This window comes from Homo sapiens, chromosome 9 (genome assembly GCF_000001405.40).
Source record: "Homo sapiens chromosome 9, GRCh38.p14 Primary Assembly".
In the NCBI taxonomy this organism is placed as follows: domain Eukaryota; kingdom Metazoa; phylum Chordata; class Mammalia; order Primates; family Hominidae; genus Homo; species Homo sapiens.
In genome coordinates, this window is record NC_000009.12 from 70,690,083 (window position 1) to 70,711,672 (window position 21,590).

At 39.8% G+C, this 21,590-nt stretch overlaps 1 protein-coding gene and 1 long non-coding RNA gene across 20 annotated transcripts in view, besides 1 other annotated feature; one reads left to right on the plus strand and one right to left on the minus strand.

Moving 5' to 3' along the window:
* Nucleotides 1–21,590, minus strand: part of TRPM3 (transient receptor potential cation channel subfamily M member 3) — a 917,912-nt gene that overhangs the window by 161,023 nt on the left and 735,299 nt on the right. The gene's annotated exons all lie outside the window — the stretch shown is intronic.
* Nucleotides 1–21,590, plus strand: part of LOC105376078 (uncharacterized) — a 49,773-nt gene that overhangs the window by 21,397 nt on the left and 6,786 nt on the right. Inside the window, exons 4-5 of the long non-coding RNA XR_007061573.1 lie at nucleotides 510–713; nucleotides 17,965–18,150. This is a non-coding gene — a long non-coding RNA (uncharacterized LOC105376078). The remainder of the gene's footprint in view (nucleotides 1–509; nucleotides 714–17,964; nucleotides 18,151–21,590) is intronic.
* Nucleotides 11,720–21,590: part of a sequence alteration artifact (region identified as an assembly artifact by the Genome Reference Consortium. This region falsely duplicates sequence located at GRCh38 chr9:70719795..70737787) that runs on past the window's edge.

The following is a 21,590-nucleotide window of genomic DNA, read 5'->3' on the forward strand; positions in this document are numbered from 1 at the left end:
TGAAAATGAAAATAAACATGATATTAGAGTGAAAAGCATCTATAAGCTGCAAGGACAGTTTGGTTCAATCTATCAAAAAATATAAAGGAACACTCTACAATCATTTCATGCTGTGTTAGATATGTAAGAAATGATATCTGAGTTTGACAAATGGTTTGTAACATGTCTGAGAATTTTAGAAATATTCTCATAGCTATACGATAGATAATCAACAAAGAAAGTTCTTATCATCTAAGAATTTAGAACAGTCTGCCTATAATCATGTTAACAATAGGCTTGAGCACACTAAAAATGGTACATCTTCGGCTTTCATAAACTAATCTCTGAAATATTTCCTATTTTCCTACTCAGTTTTTTCATAGAATCTGGCAATGTGTTTACCAAGGATAGAAGCAGGGAAACAGGAAGAGAATTAGACTCAGTAAGCAATTCAGTCGCTACAATGAAATAACTTTTTATTTATTTATTTATATTTATTTATATTTATTTATTTTTAACCCCACCTCCAGGGCTAGGGAGAAGCTAATGCAGTGACTTTTAAAAGCCGCCAGCTTAGCATAATGTTTCCTGGATGAATCATCAGTATTTAAAATAATTTGAAATAATGCAGCAATTAATAGAAAACACAAAAATCTATGTTCATCAAGATACGAAATGATACAAGACTCTTGATAGGGATCCAAACAGGATTCCTGATCAGCAACGAAATGCCTGTAAGCACATATTAGCTTCTGTTTTCTCTTTGGCGTAATTAAAGTTGACTTGGTACAGGGAAGAGAACAATGCCAACTTGATGAATAGAATACTATGCATCTAAAACATATTCGTATTCGATTTTCAGTCTTTGAGAAAAACTGTCTTTGGTTGATAAAATTCTTAATGTTAACATTTTGCCAAAGAGACTGACTTCTAGAAATGAACATGATGATTTATATGGAGGAGGGAAGGAAATTGGAGAAAATTAGGAAATGCAAACACACCTGGAACTGAGCAAACAAAAGATCAGTGGAAAGTGAAATGCAAAATTTCTACTAGAAAATTAATATCAGATAAGTTCAATTATTTGTCACCAAGTTCCATATAAATTAAATATTGATTTTTCGTGTAATATTTTTGAACAAGTCTCAAAGTTTTAGGTCGAAGTGGGTGACTTAAAAGTGATGCTAGGGAGCTAGAAATTGGGTGAAATTGATATGATTCTAGTATGTCTTATAAGACTTTCATGTATGAATTTATACATTAGAAAAAATAAGCGATTATTTGACTTTCAAAAGGATATTTTATTTTACAATGGACTTGTCAGTTTATTTTAAAGGTGCATTATGTCTAACTTTAGAAAACATAGTCTGATTTAGGTTACTTTAAGTAGGAGATTGTCTTATAGATTCAAGCACACTCACAGCACCACTCAACTCCATACTCTCCCAAGGGATCATCGTGGATGAACAACTTGGCAATTAGTGAAGAGTGCCAGAGAACGACAGAGGTTTTGCTTTTGACTCTAATCCCTCATTCCTTTTTTCCCTTATTCCTCCCACCGTCATTTAAGAACCCTGGAGTTTGTTTCTCCTCCCAAGAAATGCAATTCAGAGGCTAGAGGTCTACAGGTTCCAACACAGAAAATCATTTCTTTTTTCTTATTATAAAAGCAATGCATACTTATCATTAAAAATTATAGAAAGTTTAGAAAAAGATCAATGAAAAATAATTCCCCAAACCTCAAGTCCTACTCAAAGACACTACTGAGACTACTGAGGATATTTTGGTATGCTTCCTTTTGCATGTCCCAGGGAGAGTATACAGTCATGGGTTCTTAGTTCCTGTTTCTGGTTGGGCCAGTAAAGCCCCCTTCCTCATCCCTCTTTTCCTCTTATCACTAGAGACAGAAACTAAAATCCATGGCTTTAGGCTGCTAAAAGTCTAAAACAAAACAAAACAGAACAACAAAAACAAAATAAGGTGGGTTGGACACGCTTGCGGGGCTTTCTTTTTTCCCCCCTGCCATAGGCAGAGTTTGTGGGGGGAAGGGGAGAGCATATTTGTGAAATACTAGTTTGTAGTCTCATTTTATTCTCCATTAACATTATCACCAAGCACTTTTCTGTATTCTTGGGAATTCTTCAAAACATAATTTTTAATGTTTGCAGAGTATTTTGTCCAATAGATGTGTTGTAGTTCACTTAATACCCCCATTGCTGGACACTTACAAAGTTTCTAAATGTTTCATATAAATAATAGTGTGATGAACATCTTTATGTATGAGTCCTGTTCTATATTTAGCATTTAGTTTTAAAAATAACCCCTAGAAGTTTGGGGCTTTTGTCATAAATTGCCTCGTAGCTAGAAATGAGTATTTTAGCAAATAAAAGCAAGTTACAGTAAAAGGAAGCTTGTGTTGTCCTTGAACCAGATTTGCTGTGATGGCACTCCAGTCCCATTGATGAAAGTCCTAGGGAGAGGTGATTGCTCTAAAATGGCACTGCAAAACACAGGCATGTGCATATGTTGAGAATGTAGCCTTTATACTTCGAGGCGGAGGAGCCATGCGCAGAATCAGCTCTTATTCCTCTCTATTTGCACTACTACCAACTGCCAGAATGAGTTTAAGCTCTCGCTTCTTGGAAAAGGGGTCCTGAAAAAACATATTGACTTTGTCACTCTCTCCTATTTTCACTTTCCTGATTTTTGCTTTAGCACTTTGAATGCTGCATATGGCTTATGCAGTGCAGTGCTGGCTTATATTACTGGAGGAGCAAATGAAATCATTCAGTGAACATGAGGTTTGGGGTTTTTTAAAGCACATATGACATATCACAGTGAGAAAATTTTAAAATATGGGTCAGTCACTCAACCAAGCCTCCCTGGACCTATGATTGACATATCTTTCATCCTTGAGAGAGCAGTCTTTGATCCTAAGGTGACATGTCAGGAGGACAGGAGAAAGCAGCTCTGCTGATTTTGTGATGAGGGCAAAAAATGGAAACAAGTGAAAATTCTTCATCTAGTAATTCTACAGGAAAAGTTCATTGAGGTTCTCTAGGGGGTTGGAACTAGATGACAACGTGTCGTCTACTCTTCCCTGCTTTCAATCCTTTTCCTGGCAATTGATGTTACCTCTTTCATTGATCATAAAACTGTGTAATGTACCTCACTAGAGGCTAATGTGACAGATGCCACAGGTCCAGCAATAATATTTCCAGAAGCTTCTTTATATATCTCATGGCCTTGGCTAGCAGAATTCAGAATATTTGTTACCTTCCATCTTGTCAGCCAACCAGATGGTTGAAAAAATTAGTAGACATCCCTCTGAGAAGGAACACCCAGAACCAGAGACAGTTCTTCCAGGCCAACACCATATGGATTTCTTATGGGGTTGTAAACATTTTTAGCGCTTTTTTTTTGACATTTTGTCATATTTTTTCATCATTACAAGATGGAACTATATTTTCTGTACTTCCCTTTCATGTTTGTCAGGACATCAAATACTTCTGCAGCCTGAGCCCTTTTTTAAGAAACTATCACCAGGCGAGAGAGTGTCATGAAGGTATCATAAAGTGCTATAGACAGAGAAGTTTTCTTGCCTCCCTACTCAAACTAGTCCAGTTCCCCTGGTGACAATCTTGACACGTTCCAGTTGGTAGACCAGATGCCCTTGGTTTACCTCTCTGGGGACCTGCCCACCAGGAGGTCATACCACTTGTTACTGGGCCAATCTTACCCTTATCTAACTTGGGTGGGGCAACCCTGAATCAGAACCAGCGAAAGGGACCTTTGAGGGTACAAAAAATAGCAGTTCGGATTTTCTGATTACTTTAGGAAAAGATACATTTTACTTCTTCTTCCCTTCCTGCTTAACTATGAAGAACACTAGAGACCAACATCCTAATGGCAGGGTGTATAAGCTCGCTGAGGCTGAGGGATCTGCCTTCTTGCCCCTTTGGCACCTTGCCTGGTGGAGCAGTGGGAGAGAGCTGCTCAAATAACACTCACTTTAGAGACTCTGAGAGACTCTGCCATGGAGGTCAGGGGAAATGTTTTGGAAGAAAACATCCATTTCAGCCTGTGTCACTGGTCACTGCCTTTAGTTTCCTGGGTTTTTTTTGTGAGACTGACCGTATGAGGTCCTTTTAGTATGGCAGATGTCCTGTGTTGAAAGGATCTTGGCCTAATCACGTCCCTTTTCTAAACCTTGGTTTTACCATCTGCAAAAAAAATAAGTTTGACTAGCTGGTGACTGGAGATCTTTTAAGCTCTAGAAGCCATAGATTTTCTTTCCTCAGGCTCAGAATGGTAGAAAATCAGCATTAGGGCATCTAATAGGCCCTGTCTCCTACTTCATACATTAATTCCTTAACAACATCCATAGGAAGAGACGTTGGTTTTCATGGATGGTACCATATGAAAATCTTTTTTTTTGAGACGGAGTCTTGCTCTTTCACCCAGGCTGGAGCACAGTGGCGCGATCTCGGCTCACTGCAAGCTCCGCCTCCTGGGTTCACGCCATTCTCCTGCCTCAGCCTCCCGAGTAGCTGGGACTACAGGCACCCGCCACCACGCCCGGCTAATTTTTTGTATTTTTAGTAGAGATGGGGTTTCACCATGTTAGCCCGGATGGTCTCAATCTCCTGACCTCGTGATCCACCCGCCTCGGCCTCCCAAAGTGCTGGGATTACAGGCGTAAGCCACCATGCCATTTGCTGTTTTAGGGAATCTGTTCATTAGCTTAGGGCAAATTACCATTTTAAAAATGTTGTTCATATGTTTTTCGGCTGGACCATGGCACCATGATCTCTATTCTACACCACAAATACCACACTGTTGATGCTTAGCCAGTTAGACTCACCCAGTTCTTATGCCTACAAAGTAAGCTAAGTGTCACGTGACAACCCTCCCCCTATTCGGGAAAACCCGTTATTCCTAGGCTGATAATATCCCATCAATGCCCATGACCCAGAGCAATGCTCAAGCCTTTTACTGCAGACACTGGCACTTTCTTGGCCTAGCTCCTGGGTTATCATTTTCCACAGCTCCCATGCCCCTCACAACAACTGGATGTATTTTATACTCTGGCTCAGAGAGGACAGATTGTGTACGGAGCATGGACTTTTGAATCATACAGATGCAAAACTGAATCTTGCCAGTTAGTAGCAGTATAACCTTAGGCCATCTACTGCACCTCTCTGAGCTTTGGGGTTTCTTCCTCAAATAAGTGAAATAAGGATGACTCTATCTCAGGATTATTGCAAATCTTTGTGTGGGATCATCTTTTTAAGTCACACAGCACAATTTCTAGTAGCTAGCATGGGCTCAGTAACTGCTAATTCCCTTTCCATTGCTGTCCCTGGCGTGTTTCCTGGTCATGCTCTCTCTCCCTTTGTGGCAGCTTTGCCCAGTCTGTTCTCTCTGCTGGTCTGTCTTGTCCCTGAAGCTCTGTCTGGCTATCTGTTCCTTGTGCTCTGAGGCACAGTTATCTTCTGCAAGCTTATCTTGGTGCTAATTACGCCTTGCCTGGGTTAGACACCTAGCCTCCGTGCTGCCTCTGAACTATGTGAATATGCCTCTATCACAGCACAAACGATACCAACATTGGTGACAACATTACTAATGGTCACTTATTGTGTACTTACGACATGCTAAACACTGGGCAAGCACTTCACAAACATGACTTCATCCAATCCCACAAAAGGATACTCCTTAGTTACTGTTACTCTTCCCATTTCTCAGCTGATGACCTTGACGCCGGAGAGGTTAGATACCACATGGAGAACCATGCAGGCGGAAAGGCTGAGATACACTCGAGCCCAGACAGCCTGGCTTGAAGGCCCATTCTCCTACTGCTTATCTGCATCCTTTAATGGCCTTTGATTTCTTGGAGGGCAAGGGAAAGAACTTGCTCAAGGGCAGGTACAGCTACTAAGAGACCAGACAGAGACTCACGTACAAGCAAATTGACTCCAGACACTGCTTGCTTCAAAACTCTGCTGTTACTTGGACAATCAGCTTGAAGAAGGGGCAAGGATCTTCCCCTCCGTTCTATTCTATCTCTACATCCCCTTAACCCAGTAGTATGGCTGGCGCATTTTGGGCACCCAATGAATGTTTGTGGAATAATTCCTCCAATCTCAGTCCAAGTCTAGCCTGTACTTTTTAGATGGGGAATATATCCAATACTGACCACTCCCGATTAGGTTCAGGTTAGTCACGGAAGGAGTATTAGTTGCCCAATGTCTGGGCTGTGGTGCCAGTATGTTTCTGCATTATTTCCCATCCGGAGACCGATCAGGTTTCCTCCTAATACACATCCTCAGTCTTACCAGTAAAGGCCAAACAGGCTCAGTGCTGTCCTGGGACACTCAGATCTTAAAGAGTTAGGACTCACTTTGCTTGTAGCCTTGTAGGATAATCATAGGCAAAAGAGATACTATCATTTGGTCAGGAACATTCCCATGTGCTCATAAGAGCCAATATTAAAATAAATTCATGGCCTGAGACAGGGTAAAGAAAGAAAAGTTTCTGGGTTGCTCTGTGGATGTGTGCGCAAACCCGTGTTTGAAGGACACGCAGGGCCAATGCCAGGACATTCTGGAGTTTGTGCTTGACCCAAGATAATCCTAAATTTTGTTTAATATATCTGAAAGCATTTGTAAACAGATACGAGATTATATTTTAACATGATGATTATTGTCATAAACAATGACAAATAAAGAAGAAAATCACAAAGGTCATTTATCAGAAATCTAATCCCCCCAGACCCTTCTCTGCCTGTAAGTCTACCTGCCTGCCAGGTGCTGGGCGCTGTTCTTCTCTCCTTGCTCCTGTGTGTCTGTCCTCAGTCCCACGGGCAGAGAAAATCCCTTGTTTATTTACACAATGCAGGGCCTGGAGAAGCTGCTTTTTTTTCTGTTCCTTTTTTCAGTTTTCAATTTCAATTTGTGCTTTCCTCATGGCATTTTTCTAGGGCCACTCGAGAAGAAGAAGCAAAGCAGCGTCCTTTGTCTTATGACAAGAATGGAAATACAAAGGGAAACAAAAAGCAGCCCCAGTAGGTTTACCCTGCAAACCAGCTTGACAAATTAAAACTAAAGCTGGTGGGAGAATGCAAGTCCTCACGTAAAACTTCATTTTCTGATCTGACAATGGAAAAACATGACTTTTCTTTTTAATGGTAAAAGGGACTATTAGCCTAAGGCCCTGTCATATTATCCCCATCTACAATGAACCTTATTTTGAAAAGTGTTCTATTATTTCAAGCTCAGATGGAATTCAATCAAAGAAAAAACATTTCTGTTTATCAGCTTTATTATCACTTTGGGTTCCTAAACCCAAGTAATCTCTCTCTCTTCCTTGAGCCAATATGGACATAGAAACGTACATACATTCTATCACTGAATAGTTGAGTTTATTCTCATTATTATTATGCCCATTGCACAAGTCATAGTTGCTAACTACTCCAGGGTCAAAACTCTGCATAAAAATTATAGGCTACGATTTTCAGACTATTAACTTTTTTTTTAGAATGACTGTTTAGGAGTGACAGCTTTTCTCCCAAGAGGAGTAATTCTTTCCTCTCTGTTTCTCTTAAGATTGTTTTTACTGTTGCATGTCACATGTAAAAAATTAAGTGGACCTCTCTGACTACTTGTGAGGAAGTTTCAAGAAGAGTAATTATCAGTATAATTGTCATTATCAGTAGTTAATACCACTAATGGTATATGGTTCTCCAGCAAATTCTTTTGTCTCCTCCTTTACATTAAATCCACAATTTAGCCACTTCTCACCATTCCAGGTCTGGGCTACTATCCCCTCTCCTAGGTTACCGCTATAGCCCCATTAAGAAGTTTCCTTGTGGCTGGGCTGGCTCACATCTGTAATCCCAGCACTTCGGGAGGCCGAGGAGGGTAGATCACCTGAGGTCAGGAGTTCGAGACCAGCCTAGCCAACATGGTGAAACCCCGACTCTACTAAAAATACAAAAATTAGCCAGGTGTGGTGGCATCAGCTTGTAGTCCCAGCTACTCAGGAGGCTGGGGCAGGAGGATCACTTGAACCCGGGAGACGGAGGTTGCAGTGAGCTGAGATCGCATCACCGCACTCCAGCTTGGGTGACAGAGCGAGACTCTGTCTCAAAAAAAAAAAAAAAAGAATTTTTCTTGCTTATATCCTTGCCCCTTCTTCAAGCCGATTCTCCATGTAACAGCAGAGTTTTGGAGCAAGCAGCCTCTGGAGTCAATTTGCTTGTATGTGAGTTTCCGTCCTGTCTCTTACTAGCTGTGTCTGCCCTTGAACAAGTTCTTTGCCACCTCTAAACTTCAAGTTCCTTATCTGAAAAGTGGGAGTAATTATACTTCCCATTGGAATTGTTTTCTGTTGAAAGTTAAGTGAGATAATGTACACTAAGTACTTAGCATATAGCCCTGAGACACGCATGCTAACATTATTATTACTGAATTATACAGTAAAAGCGGGTGAGTTTTAATTTGACACTAGGTCTGCAGCAAGAGAAAGTATAGGTGTTAAACATAGTGATATGGTTTGGATCAGTGTCCCCACCAAAATCTCATGTTCAATTGTAATCCCCGGTGTTGGAGGTGGGCCTGGTGGGAGGTGATTGGATCGTGGGGGCAGAGTTCTCATGAATGGTTTAGCACCATCCCCCCTTGGTACTGTATAGTGAGTGAGTTCTCATGAGATCTTTTGTTTAAAAGTGTGTGGCACTGCCCGCTTCTCTCTCGGTTCTGCTCCTTCCATGTAAGACTCCTTCTCCCACTTTGTCTTCTGCCATGAGTAAAAGCTCCCTGAGGCCTCCCCAGAAGCAGATGCTGATATGCTTCCTGTACAGCCTGTGGAACCATGAGCCAATTAAACCTCTGTTCTTTATAAATTACCCAGTCTCAGGTATTTCTTTAAAGCAATGCAAGAACGAACTAATACACACAGAAAACACACATCCTCAGCAAAATGATACAATTTGTTTTGTTTCTTTCTCACAGTTAAGGCCTTGTTAAATGACAAATAGTCTATGTAAATCCCCATGTATATTCAGCCTCTATCATTAGCAGCCTAAAAACTGCTTTTGGGGAGAAATAGAGATTCAAATATCACCAAAATCAAGAAGCTGTGATAAAAGTGACAAGAAAATTTTTTCTAGGAAAGAATTTAAGGGCTAAGGAGACAAAGGTCATTTCTGGCTGGGATGACACAGTAAGACGTCATGGAGAAGATGAGGATTTGGCCTGGACTTTGTGGACTATATTAATTTCAATAGCAAAGTTTGGTGGTGGGGAGGTGCAGGAAGAAGAAAATGGTAAGAGAAAATAAGAGAAAAGTGAACATTAAAATCAGAGTGTGCAAATAGTCAATTTGCTGGAGGGTTGGGTAAAGAAAAGGCAACTTATAAAAAATCAAGCTAGAAAGCAAGTCTGGGACAAGCTACGGATGATCTTCAATGATTCACTAAACACTAGGCCTTGAGCCAGGCACTTTATATACATTACCTGGTTTAATCCTCACACCAATCCTGTGAGGCTCAGAGATTGAAGTAGTTACTCAAGATCACTAAGCTGATAAGTGACAGAATCAAGATTTGACCTCAGATCTGGAGCCTCTCTAGGCTTTCTTGCTAAAGTAAAACACTGTTAGAGGTAACTAAATCTTGGAGTGAGGATTGGAGGTGGGGCCCAGCTTCAGGGAAGCTGCACCAGGCTTGAGATGAGATAATAAGGGCCTGGAATAGGGGTGGAGTGTGGTTGTGATGCAGGGGCAAAGCCGTGTGTGAGGGACTTCTAAGAAGAATCATAAGGCATGTTGACTTACAAGAATAAAGGGCAGGGAGGCATCAAAGATGACTCCAAGTTCTTTGGCCACAGTGCTGCGAGCATGGGGCTGCTCTTTTTTGTTTGTTTGTTTGTTTGTTTTCGTGAGACAGAGTCTCGCTGTGTTGCCCAGGCTGGAGTGTAATGGTGTGATCTTGGTTCACTGCAGTCTCCGCCTCCCGGGTTCAAGCGATTCTCCTGCCTCAGACACCCGAGTAGCTTAGACTACAGGCATGTGCCACCATGCCCGGCTAATTTTTGTATTTTTAGTAGAGAAGGGCTTTCACTATGTTGGCCAGGCTGGTCTTGAACTCCTGACTTCAGGTGATGCACCTGCCCCAGCCTCCCAAAGTGCGGGGATTATAGGCGTGAGCCACCACATCTGGCCAAGGGCTGCTCTTAACAGAAACAGGAAAGCCAGGATGATTTGGGGGAAAGTGACAGGTTTATCAAGAGCTTCCATCCTTTTTGACTCAAAGGTTGAGTATAAGCCCAGGGCAGGACCCTGGAAGATGGTGGAGGCCGGGATAGGGGGGCGATGAATCAGACAAAGTTCTACTCTGCAGTGGAATCAGAATTAGAGTCTCTACTGCCCCCCTGCCCTGGAAACCTTGCTTTTGTTCTGGTTAGCAAAAAGACTGTGCTCTTTGTTAAAATGCTTTTGAACAGAGCTATATCGCAGCCTGGAGGAGATTCTAAATAGTGAGAAAAGAAACGGATTTGGCAAAACTTATAGGCTGTCAACAGCTTTTTAGACGATAACTGCCATAGAACAATGTGTGTGTATACCAGATGAAAAAAATAGAAACTTTCATCAGATTGATCTCTTTGGAGAGTGAAACTGGAGAGAAGTTTTATCCACATCCACTTGCCTATCATAGCAATAAGGAACTATGTAGACGTGCACACATGTATGTACATACAATGGTTTTGTGAATCACATGACTGGGCAATGTTAAACGTGCTAAATATGCTAAACGTTGTCCCAGAAAGCAACTCTGGTATGATTTTACTGTAGAGGGCAGGTTGTCCATTTCCCCAGCAATGACTTTTCCACAAAGAACACTTGGAAAAATGTTCAAATCACATTTACCACTTCAGTCAGATGCTGGCATTTTTTTTCACATCTCCCCATTATAATGATTGTAGTTCTAGAATGATGCCTATTTTATGTAGAAATATTGAAGAATGAAGTGCTCTATAAATTTTCTAGTCAAGTATGGGTTATCCATTAATGCCAAATAAAAACAAGTGAATTCTCTTGGATGAAAACGTTTCTAAAAAGGAATAGACACATCTATCTTCCTAGACAACATTAAGTAGGATGAAAATCCATTATTATCTTTTGTTGTGACTTAGCGATGTTCTCATTGACTGTCAGGGATGATAGGCTATTTGGGCCTCTCTCAATGGCCCCGGACTGCTCACAGGGAGAGTTCACGTGTCTGCTATTTATAGTTTTCTGTCTCAATGGTGTGACTAACTGTCCTCACCACTCTCACTGACTGTGCCTCCCTGATTTCTAATTGCATTGGGCAGGAGCACCCGATCAAAACCAAGCACAGAAGCGGTGGTTTCTGTGGCATTTAATGCCTGTGACTGTGGGGAATTTAGTGATTGTCTCATATCAATGTCAGGCTTCAAATTAGTCTTTTTTTCCTTTAATTTTCTTATTTTCTGATTCTTGCATATATTCTGGGGTAGTTAAGGGATCTGTATTAGGGACCATTTGATAAATTAGGGATTGCCATATTCTTAGCAGGAACATTTTCTAATTATTTTTATTTGATCTCTTTCTGCTAATCTCTACTAGGAAGTTAAGAATTGAACATATCTAGATTCTTAAGGAGAACAGTTGCTAAGTGAAATAAATATAACTGCTTAAGGTAGGAATAGAAGTGAGCTCTTAACAGTAATGAAAGCAACTGCAGTGTCCACCGCTCCTCTAAGCATTGTACATGTGTGAGTCTACATCTTCCCAGTGATGTTCAGTATTATCATTCTTATTCCAGTAGGGATAACACAGATTTAAAAAGGTAGACTATCTACTGAAAGTCACATGGCTAGAATTCCCATGCTGTGTAGTCTGTGGCAGGCCTCTCCACTCATTTGGATTTTGTGGAGGGACAGAAGGGGAATGAGTGAAAGCCTCAATGAGGTCAGAGGTAGTATTCCATATTAATTTCAATGGTCACTATTTTTGAGCAAGTAAAGAACCTACTGAGAGAACAACAGGTTGAGCAGCAACAGAGCCTGTGTGGTCATCAGAGAGGCCTGCTGGCCCTTGGGGCCACATTAAGCAGCTGCTTTGTCACTGGAGCCACACTTCCCCTTATTTTGTATAGTTCATTCCTCTACTCAATGGACCCTTGAAAGAAAAGCCCACTACCGGTGGGAAGAAAAGAACCATGACAGTTTGTCAACTTCCTCTTTGTTCTCTAAAGTACAGAATTCAATCTCCTCTTATTTCCTGGAAAACCATCAATTTACAGGACAGGGTAAAAAGAATCTTAGTTATAAAGAAAGAGCCAGGCCTACACTACAGACTTGAACTTGCTCTCTAATCCTTTGGCAAGAGCACCTACTGACTGGTCACATTATTCAAATGTATTTTATCACTGATCATCATCTCTTTTAAACTTTGCCTTTTCAGTAGAGAATTCTCTAAATGCCCACAAGTAGAACTAGCATGGAATAAAGCAAGCTGTTAAAGAAAGTCGAATTCCAAAAAGTTGGCTTGGTAAAATAGCATGAAAAGGTGTATATTTTTAGCTAGAAATTACAAACCTGCTGCATTTAAGTGAGGCAACAGTTGCACAAAGTACAACGTAATTATTTTCTGTCCCGTGCCTGTCTTTGAGTCTGTCACTTTGCTATTCACTTATGGACATCAGTGAGAGATGTTTCTTTCCTTTTTAACCTCTCCCTTGTCAGTCCATTGCAGGAAAGTACTCCTTAGCTTGAAAGTTATGTACAGGTAGAGGCATACAAACATTCGAGAAACATTCAAATGCTTAGTCCCTGTCTCATACAAACCCTGCACTTCAGCTGGTTATGTTTTCTCCTTCTTTATTTCTTCCCGCCCTTTCAAATGTATTAACGAAGAGCCTTTAAAGTGTCAGGCATTGTGTGAAGGCCTGGGGAGACTGTGTGTGTGTGTGTGTGTGTGTTTGTATACACTGTGCCTGTCTTTAGGATCACTTGTGCCCTTTATCTCAAATTTTGGATGACTGGGTAGATACTGGGTAGATGAAATTTAATCATCCCTTTTTTACTAAACTTTAAGGACACCATGATTTTTTGTTTCTACACAGTAGAAACTATAGGTAGGTGAAGCTCAAAGTTTATAACCTCAAAAATTTCATTATTACAGCAATTTTATTAGCTAAAAGAGCAAATATAATTTTTAGGTGATGAGTAAGATGTACCTAATAGAGACATTTTTGGAGCCATGGTTATTTCAAATAAAAAAATAGGATTTTTTAGTAGCTAAATTTAGCAGTGAGGACAATTACAAAATTAAGTACTACTCAATAGGTCCCTAAAATTCTGAATGAAAAGAAAATTCATGGGTTTATACCAGGTATAATAGACAATTCTAATTCCTTGAAAATAAATGAGGTTTCGTTTTTATTCACTCTTTAGAAAAGAAAAACCTAGCTTTTATTAGGCAGTAGGGTCTGTTTGAGAAAATACCATTTTAGTGGCTCTTCATAATTATGGTGTCAGTCTAAAAAGCAGCTAATGCCACGTTCTAGCCAAATATGAGAACTCCATGGGCTTAAGGCTTGAGACAAGTAAGGCAGTCCCTAAAATAAATTGGGTAACTGGAAGAAGAATTCTTTTTCAGAAGGAGAAATATGTGAATGGTAAGCCCTATAATTGCTGAGGACATTAACTTATCAATTATCTCATCATCTTTTAAAAACATATATAATTAATTTTTTAAAAAAGTAGAGATGGGGTGTCACTATGTTGCTCAGGTTGGTTTTGAACTCCTGGGCTCAAGCGTTCTGCCCTCCTTGGCCTCCCAAAGTGCTGGGATTTCAGGTGAGAGCTGCCGCGCAGGCCCATCTCCTCCTCTTTAAACGAAAGGCTACCCAAAGCATAACTACCATGCTGCCAGGGACTAACAAGGAAAACAACCCACAGCCACAAGCATCCTGGATGCTTTGAAAGAGGGGCAGGCTTGGGGACATTTTCCAAGTTGCTTGGTGTTTAGAACCTATCCATCAGGCTAGTTCAGTTCCTCCAAAAATTCCCAGAGGTGAGAGGCAGTCAACAGCTTTGCTGGGCATGACAAGTTTCATTTCAAGGAGCCCAGCTTGTAATTTCAAGCAGACTGCTGTTGTAGGCCCAATCAACTCAGAGTTTCAATTGTTTTTCAAGCATTGCTTCATTGAACACACTCAGCAATCACAGAACCACCCGTGTCAACGTGGCAAGGACTGGGAAAGAACTCACAAGTCACTTAACAGAAAAGCATATTTTAGCAGTTTTCTGAAACAATTGTCCTAAACATACCTTTTTACAGTGACTGATCCTAACTTTCTGATATGGACTTGGAAAAAAGACATTTCTGGAACTGGCATACAATCAGGGAGGAGCTGGTAATGTACAAATACTGCCTTGTGAAAGAATATTGGATGCTCTTGTTCTCACTCCTACTCCAAATTGTTATTGGGCTTTACCTATGGTTTCTAAAATCATCAGGTTTTAAGAAGTCATTTTACATTTACATTCACACACACTTAAACACACATCAAATACATTTATCACATATACACATTAAACACACACACACACACACACACACACACTGATGATAAAAATGGAATTTCCCGGAATAATCCCCGCTTCAAATATTCTCTCCAGTTTTTAGCTCACATCCAAGACCATCTATTTTAAATTTTTAGCTTCCAAAATATGGTCACTGAATCAAGATGATCCATATTATGACTCTAAGACTGAAATTCAGATTTTGATTCAACAGATATTTTCTTAACACTTTCTTCAGATGTGGGGATGATATTTCAATGCAATATCTTATGAAATCAGAGGATCTTTATTACATGGAATATAGCATATTTTGTCCTTGATTTTCCTCAGTAACATATAATGGACCTATTGCGATACTCTTGAATGAAACAGACAATGCATAGAAGCTTTTAGAAAAATGGATTTCTGTAAAAATAAAAAATAAACATCATATGTTGAAACTTATGTTTCAACATATAATATTTATTATTTCTTATATAACAATATAATTTTATTATAATATATATTTAATATAATTTAATATAAATAACAATATAAATAATATAATAATGTATAACAATATAATATATCAGGCCACTTAAGTGGCTCTTGCCTTGAGCAAGTCATCTAACTTCTTGTTTTCCTTTCTTTTTGAGACAGGGTCTTGCTCTGTCATCCAGGGTGGAGTGCAGTGGTGCAATCATAGCTCACTGTAACCTTGAACTCCTGGGCTTAAGCGATCCTCTTGCCTCAGCCTCCCTAGTAGCTGGGACCATAGGCATGCACCTCCCTGCCCGACTAATTAAAACAAAATTATTTGTAGACATGGGGTCTCACTCTGTGGCCCAGGCTGATCTTGAACTCCTGGCCTCAAGTGATCCTCCAGCCTTGGCCTCCCACAGTGCTGGGATTATAGGTGTGAGCCATGGTGCCTGGCTGTAACTTCTTGTTTTACAGATGAAAACACTATCTCCTTCATAAATTGTGAGAAAAATAAATTAATATGCACAAAAACAGTTTAAAAAGACCCTGGTATATACTTGGAGAAATTGGACTAACTTAATAGATGGGCTTAAAAAGTAACCTGGATAATGAAAGTGTTCAGTAAATGTTGTTGCTATTGTTGTCATTATTTAAAGTCCCAGTTTCCTCATCTGTAACTGAAGGGGTAGATTTAATCTTAATGATCTCTACAGTTTCTTTCCTTTGGTGATGCTCTGTTGCCTGTCCTTTAAGTTTCTATGAAGTGACCAATACAGAATATGAGTTGGTCAGGTTAACATTTAATATAAATAAAAATTTACCGTGAGGTGTTAAGAGCTGATAGCAGAAACAGGAGCATAAGAGTAACTGTTTTGTCTTGTTTTATGCAAATAACTTCCCTGTGTTTGCTTTTTTATAATGACAAAATGATGAAATGGTAATAAGCAGGCAATTTCCACCAGGGGCTTAAAAACTTGGCCTAGTTTTGAATGTTTTAGGGTCCAGAAGGAGAGAAACCTAGCTCAGCCTTAACAGGAAGCAGAACAGCTTGTCAATCGGTTGTTTTAGCTCCCTGGAGTCTCATTCTGATATGGTAATTTTGTGTTATAAATCTGGGAGAATGTTGGACAGGCTGAGGTCCAGTTATTCCAACAACTGCTACTGTAAATCCTTCATTCCCTCAGTAGTTGCCCTCTTCCTCAAATATCTTTCCATGCAGAGTAAATGCTAGTTATGGGGGCTATAAACTGCTTAAAATTAGGCTTTGGGCTAGAGAGTGTGTCTTCTCCTGTAAAAACAAGCTTTTCCTTATATTTTCCAGTATTTTGGCTCCAACAAAATCCAAGGGCTATATTTCTTGCTCCCAAATGCATAGAAAAAGTAATTTAAAAAATTTTTAAAAATGTAAATACTAATGAGAGGCAAAGCAGTCAAGAAGATACCATTTCTCTAGGTACCAACAGTTCAAACAATAAAAATATACTTATTTATCAATAATTTGATTTCAATAATATTTTACAAAATGAACCACTTCTGATCAGATATAGATTTATTGGTAATACTGCTTGCAAAACAATTCAAAAGGAAAAGAAAGACAAAGTGAAATAGAGCTTGTATGAGAGAGAGAATGAAAGATTATCTTTGGTGGTTCTAATTGATTTCTGACATTGTCCCCAACATAGCTTTTGTTGCATGTAAAGAATACTCTGTACAGTGGCCCAAGGCTACTTCAATAATAGTTCACTGTTTTGTTAGTCAACAGCTGGCTTGTATGTGACCTTGATGTTTGTATTATACCCAGGAAACAGGAGACTTACGATGGGACTTTGACCAGGGCCAGCATTATAACCACATTAATGGAGAATGCAAATTCAAATTGAGGTGGGGCTGGCAGGAGTTCATCATTGAAAGGCTGCATTCATCACAGATGTCAAGTACAGGCTGGGTCTTCATATTTCTTTTTCTCATACAATGACTTCTTCTCCTGTGGCTCTTTCACATGGACTGTGTATTCAGGGGACAAAGCTTCTGCAGTAGGCTTTGAGTAAGGTCAAACTCCATGGTGCCTAAGAGTCTAGGACACTCACTAAAATTGCCCAGTAAAATGTCTGGACATTAAATAAATTGTATTATATGAAATTCATGAGTGGGAAGGGCAAGCACTAAGGGTCATTTCTGTATTATGGTATTTAACAATTGCTTCCATTCAAATGCTACAATATTATGCAGTCTGTAGTAGATGTCCATGCACAGCATTCACATTCAACTTTAATATTTAGGAAAGCTTTTGTTAGGCAGACGTGGGAGTGGTATGCTAATCAATATGAACTTTTCTCAAGTGTTCTTAATAGGGTAATAACACTGATGCCAGGATAACCTTGAAGTTTATATTTGCCGAGGTAGATATCCTGCAGAAAGAAGTTTTGAGAACTATAGTAGAAATGGAAGAAAAATATATTAATAGCATAGACTTGGGTATCCTTATAACCAGATACGTACTCTTTTCTAAAACCATCGCTAAAAGGGCTTAGGTGCTATTGGTAACTTCCTCCTAGTTTAAAACTCAGCCTAATGTTTTCAGTGGTGGGGAGGGATCTGACTCTATGAAATAATGAATTGTTCAGCCTTAAAAATATGTTTATAAACAGCATGAAAAAATGTAAATATTTTATGGCTAAATGAAAACTTTCACTGTATAGATATATGCAACATGATTACCACTGTGTTCAAAACAACGTAAAATAAACCTAAAACCTTATACACAGAAAAAAATACCTTAGAAGAAAATTCAGCAAAAGTCATTGGTGTTGTGGGGCTGTGGAAGATCTTTTTCCTCTGTTTATATTTTGATAGTTTTAAAATTTTCTATAATAAGCATATTTCTAATTAGTATATATTACTTTCACAATAGAAAAAATAAACTGGATCAAAGCTATACTCAACTTCAAGATGACTGTTCACTGAGAAATGTGAAATTAATATGAAATATGAAAGAAAACTCTTACTATGTAAATGAATCACAGAATCCAAGAAAGATGTGCCGGATGGGAACTAGAGGTCATCTAGATTGCATTCTGTCTAATCAGATCATATGAAGGTAAGATTTCTGGGCTGAAGAGTTAAAAGTGTATCCTTCTCACATTAGAAGAGAGAAATGGAAAGAATCCAAGCTTTTTATTCAAACAAGGCTGGATTTAAATTTTGATGCTGCTTCTTAACTTTCTGTGTCCTTTGGGCAAATTATTTAACCTCTCTAAGATTTAGAAAAGAAAGATGGCAATAGTGCCTACTTCTTAAAATGGTTTTTAGATTTAAATGAGAATGGGGAAGATAGATACGTAGGTAGGTAGATAGATGTAGATACATACGTACACATATTGCCGAATACCTAATATGCAGCTTTTTAGCATTATTATTATCAAAGCCTCTTTTATTCCTCAGTGGCCATTGGCTAGAAATATTTTGATATCATTTCTTTTGGGTTTAAAAGAGAAGGAAGATAACCACTGAAATCTCTTTGTCCTTTTTTAAAAAAAAGCATGGTAAGCACATTTAACATGAGATCTACCCTTTCAACAGACTTTTAACTGTGAAATACAGTATTTTTAACTACAGGACAAATGTGCAATGGATCTCTATAACTTACTTATTTTGTGTAAGTTCCTGTTAACTAGCAACTCACCATTTCCCCCTCTCTGCAGCCCCTGGCAACCACCACTGTGCTGTCTGCTTCTACAGGTTTGACTATTTCAGATTCCCCAGAGTCGTGTGTCTTCCAATACTGATAGAATAGTATTGAAGACCATGGTATATTTTTTTATGGACAAGAGTATTGTGATATCATCTCTTGCTGTCTATTCTCCTTCAGCTTCTTCCCTTAGTTTTTCTTTTCCTATAGCGCAGAATCTCTTCTGTGTCCTTTCTCCAGTCTCATTTTCTGTTGAATGGCCTCTATTCAGGATTTGTTTCCGTAACACTACTGAAACCGTACTTCTCAGGGTCATCAGTGAACTCCATCTTGCTAAATCTGGTGGCAAATTTTTATTCCTTTTAGTATGTGATATATTAGCACAAGATGGTTTCCTTCTCCTGGAAGTTCTTTTTTCACTTAGCTTCTAGGACATCACATCTTTCTGGTCTTCTTTCCATCTCACTGGCTGCTTCTTTTCAGGTCTCCTTTGTGGGGCCCTCCTTCTCTCTCCCATCTATAAATGTCACAGTGCTTGGGTTTCAGCTCTTGTTCCTTGCTCCACCCACATTCCCTCCTCAGTAAGCGCATTATCTTCCATGGTGGGAATACAGTCTATATGCTAATTGGTCTCAAATTCGTATCTCCTACTCCGATTTCTCCCTGAAGTTCAGGTCATAAATCCAACCGCCTCCTTTATTACTATCTGGATGTCCAGTAGGCATCTAAAAATTATCATGTCCAAAACAAAACTCTTGTTTCCACTTCCTCAAAAATCCACCCCTTCCCCATGCTTCCCTGGTTTATTAGAAGGCAACTCCATTTTCCCCAATCACCCTTGAAATAATCCAGAACTCTTCTCTTTACCTCATACCCATCATCTACAGCAAGTCCTGTTGCCTCCACCTTCAAACTTGATTTCCAGTCCAACCACTTCTCACCATCTCTTAGCTCAGCCCACAGCACCTACACTGGACTGGAGTGTAATGCCTGCATTACTTTGTAGTCTCCTAAATGATCTCCTAGTTTATATATTTGGCAGGTGCCAGAATGATCCTTTAAAACTCTAAATTAGATCATATTATTACTCTGCTCAAAACCATCTAATGGCTTCTCATCCCACTCAGAATAAAACCTAAACTATTTATCATGTTCTGCTTCTCCAGCATCATCTCCTATCACTGCCGGCCTTACTTGCTTTTCTCCAGGCACACCAGCCTTCTTGCTGTGTCTCAGACACGACAGGCATGTTCCTGCCTCAGAGCCTTTGCACCCACTCCTCCGTCTCCCTGGAATATTTTGCCGTCAGATCTTTGCTTGGCAGCTGGCTCCCTCACTTAGTACTAGGTTCTCATCTTTAAGTATCACATCTTCAGGGAGGGCTTCTCCAATCCCCCTTTTTATACTCTCACTCACTCTGAGCTAGGTGCTGTTCTAGGTGTTGGGGGAACAGCAGTGAATAGAGAGCTCCTCCTCTCTGAGGTTTACCCCACCTCGTCCTATCCCATCCCATCTCATTGCTCTGCACCTATTAAGTTCTTCTTTTAATTTTTTTTCTCATTGTACATATTATTGCCTGGTACCTTTCCATATATTTATTTTCTTCTTTATTTACAATCTCTTCTCTGTTAGAATGTAGGCTGAATGAGGACAGGTACTGTTGTATCCCTAGCCCCTAGAATAGTGCTTGGCAGGTGGCAGGCACTCTATAAGTGTTTCTGGAATGAATGATTGTAGAAGTAGTTTGATAAATAGAAGTCTATTGCAGGCAATAGGCAGAGACTTCATCTTGCCATATGTGACTTAGAAGGGATGTGAGTAGAATATGAATGAATGTTTCAAGCTGAAGCCTACTTCATGGATGTCACTAGCAGTTCCTGAGTACATCCTAGATGTCCATTCAGTGTTCTATACTTTATAGCTTTGAATGATGATTTGGCTTTCAAAAGATATACATGTCCATCTTGAATTTTTCGCAGTGAGTTTCGGTTGCATATGCCCCGGTTTATTTGTGTATGATATGTGCTGTGCCTGGCATCTGCTCTGCTTTCTGGCCCTCTGTGTGCCTGTGCCCAGAGGACATCTGAGAGTTAGTTGGCATATTATAAGGTAGTATCAGAAAACCTTTGCTCTGAGCCCTCTGACTGATCCTATTGGGGTTGAGAAACCTATCAAGTACTGCTAAGCTGGCAGAATGACAAAATCAACTCACACAAGGAAATAAATCAGGCGCGGTGGGCATGGAGAGCCTTGAGGACCAATGGCAGAGGAAGACAGAGATTATGGCTCATGGATGGTAGATGATTGAGGACTGGATAGAAACTGGGTTGTCCAGAAACACTATGTCTTAGCCAGAGCTGGAACATTGGCATTTGAAGCTGAAGACTAGTCCTGGCACTTTCAAGCTCTATCTGTGTTAGGATTGGGGTCCTCTCCTCCAGTCACTTTTCTTTTTGTCCATAATGGAAGTTGCAAGTTGACACTTATAAGCCCAGAGTTTTGAGATGCTGGTGGGTGTGTTTTCTGGGCAGAGTACCTTTCCCCCAGTGCTCTCAGCCAGTCCAGAGGCATCTCTCTGATGATGCAGGGTTGGGTATGATGTGCCTACACCTGCAATGAGGCACCGGAAATATAGGCATTAAGAGAGGAGATTTCCATGAGAGTCATAGAAAAGAAACTTGCCATTCAAAGTGGCTTTTTGACTTCACTGTTTCCAGGAAGTGCTATCTCTGACAGGAATTATTTCCTTGCTTTCTGCCAGTGATCGTGCATGTTTTTGGCAATGTGAAATGTGGGTGCTTGGAGGAGAAATGCACAAATAAAAGGAGAGGAAGGGAGATAAAGTAAAG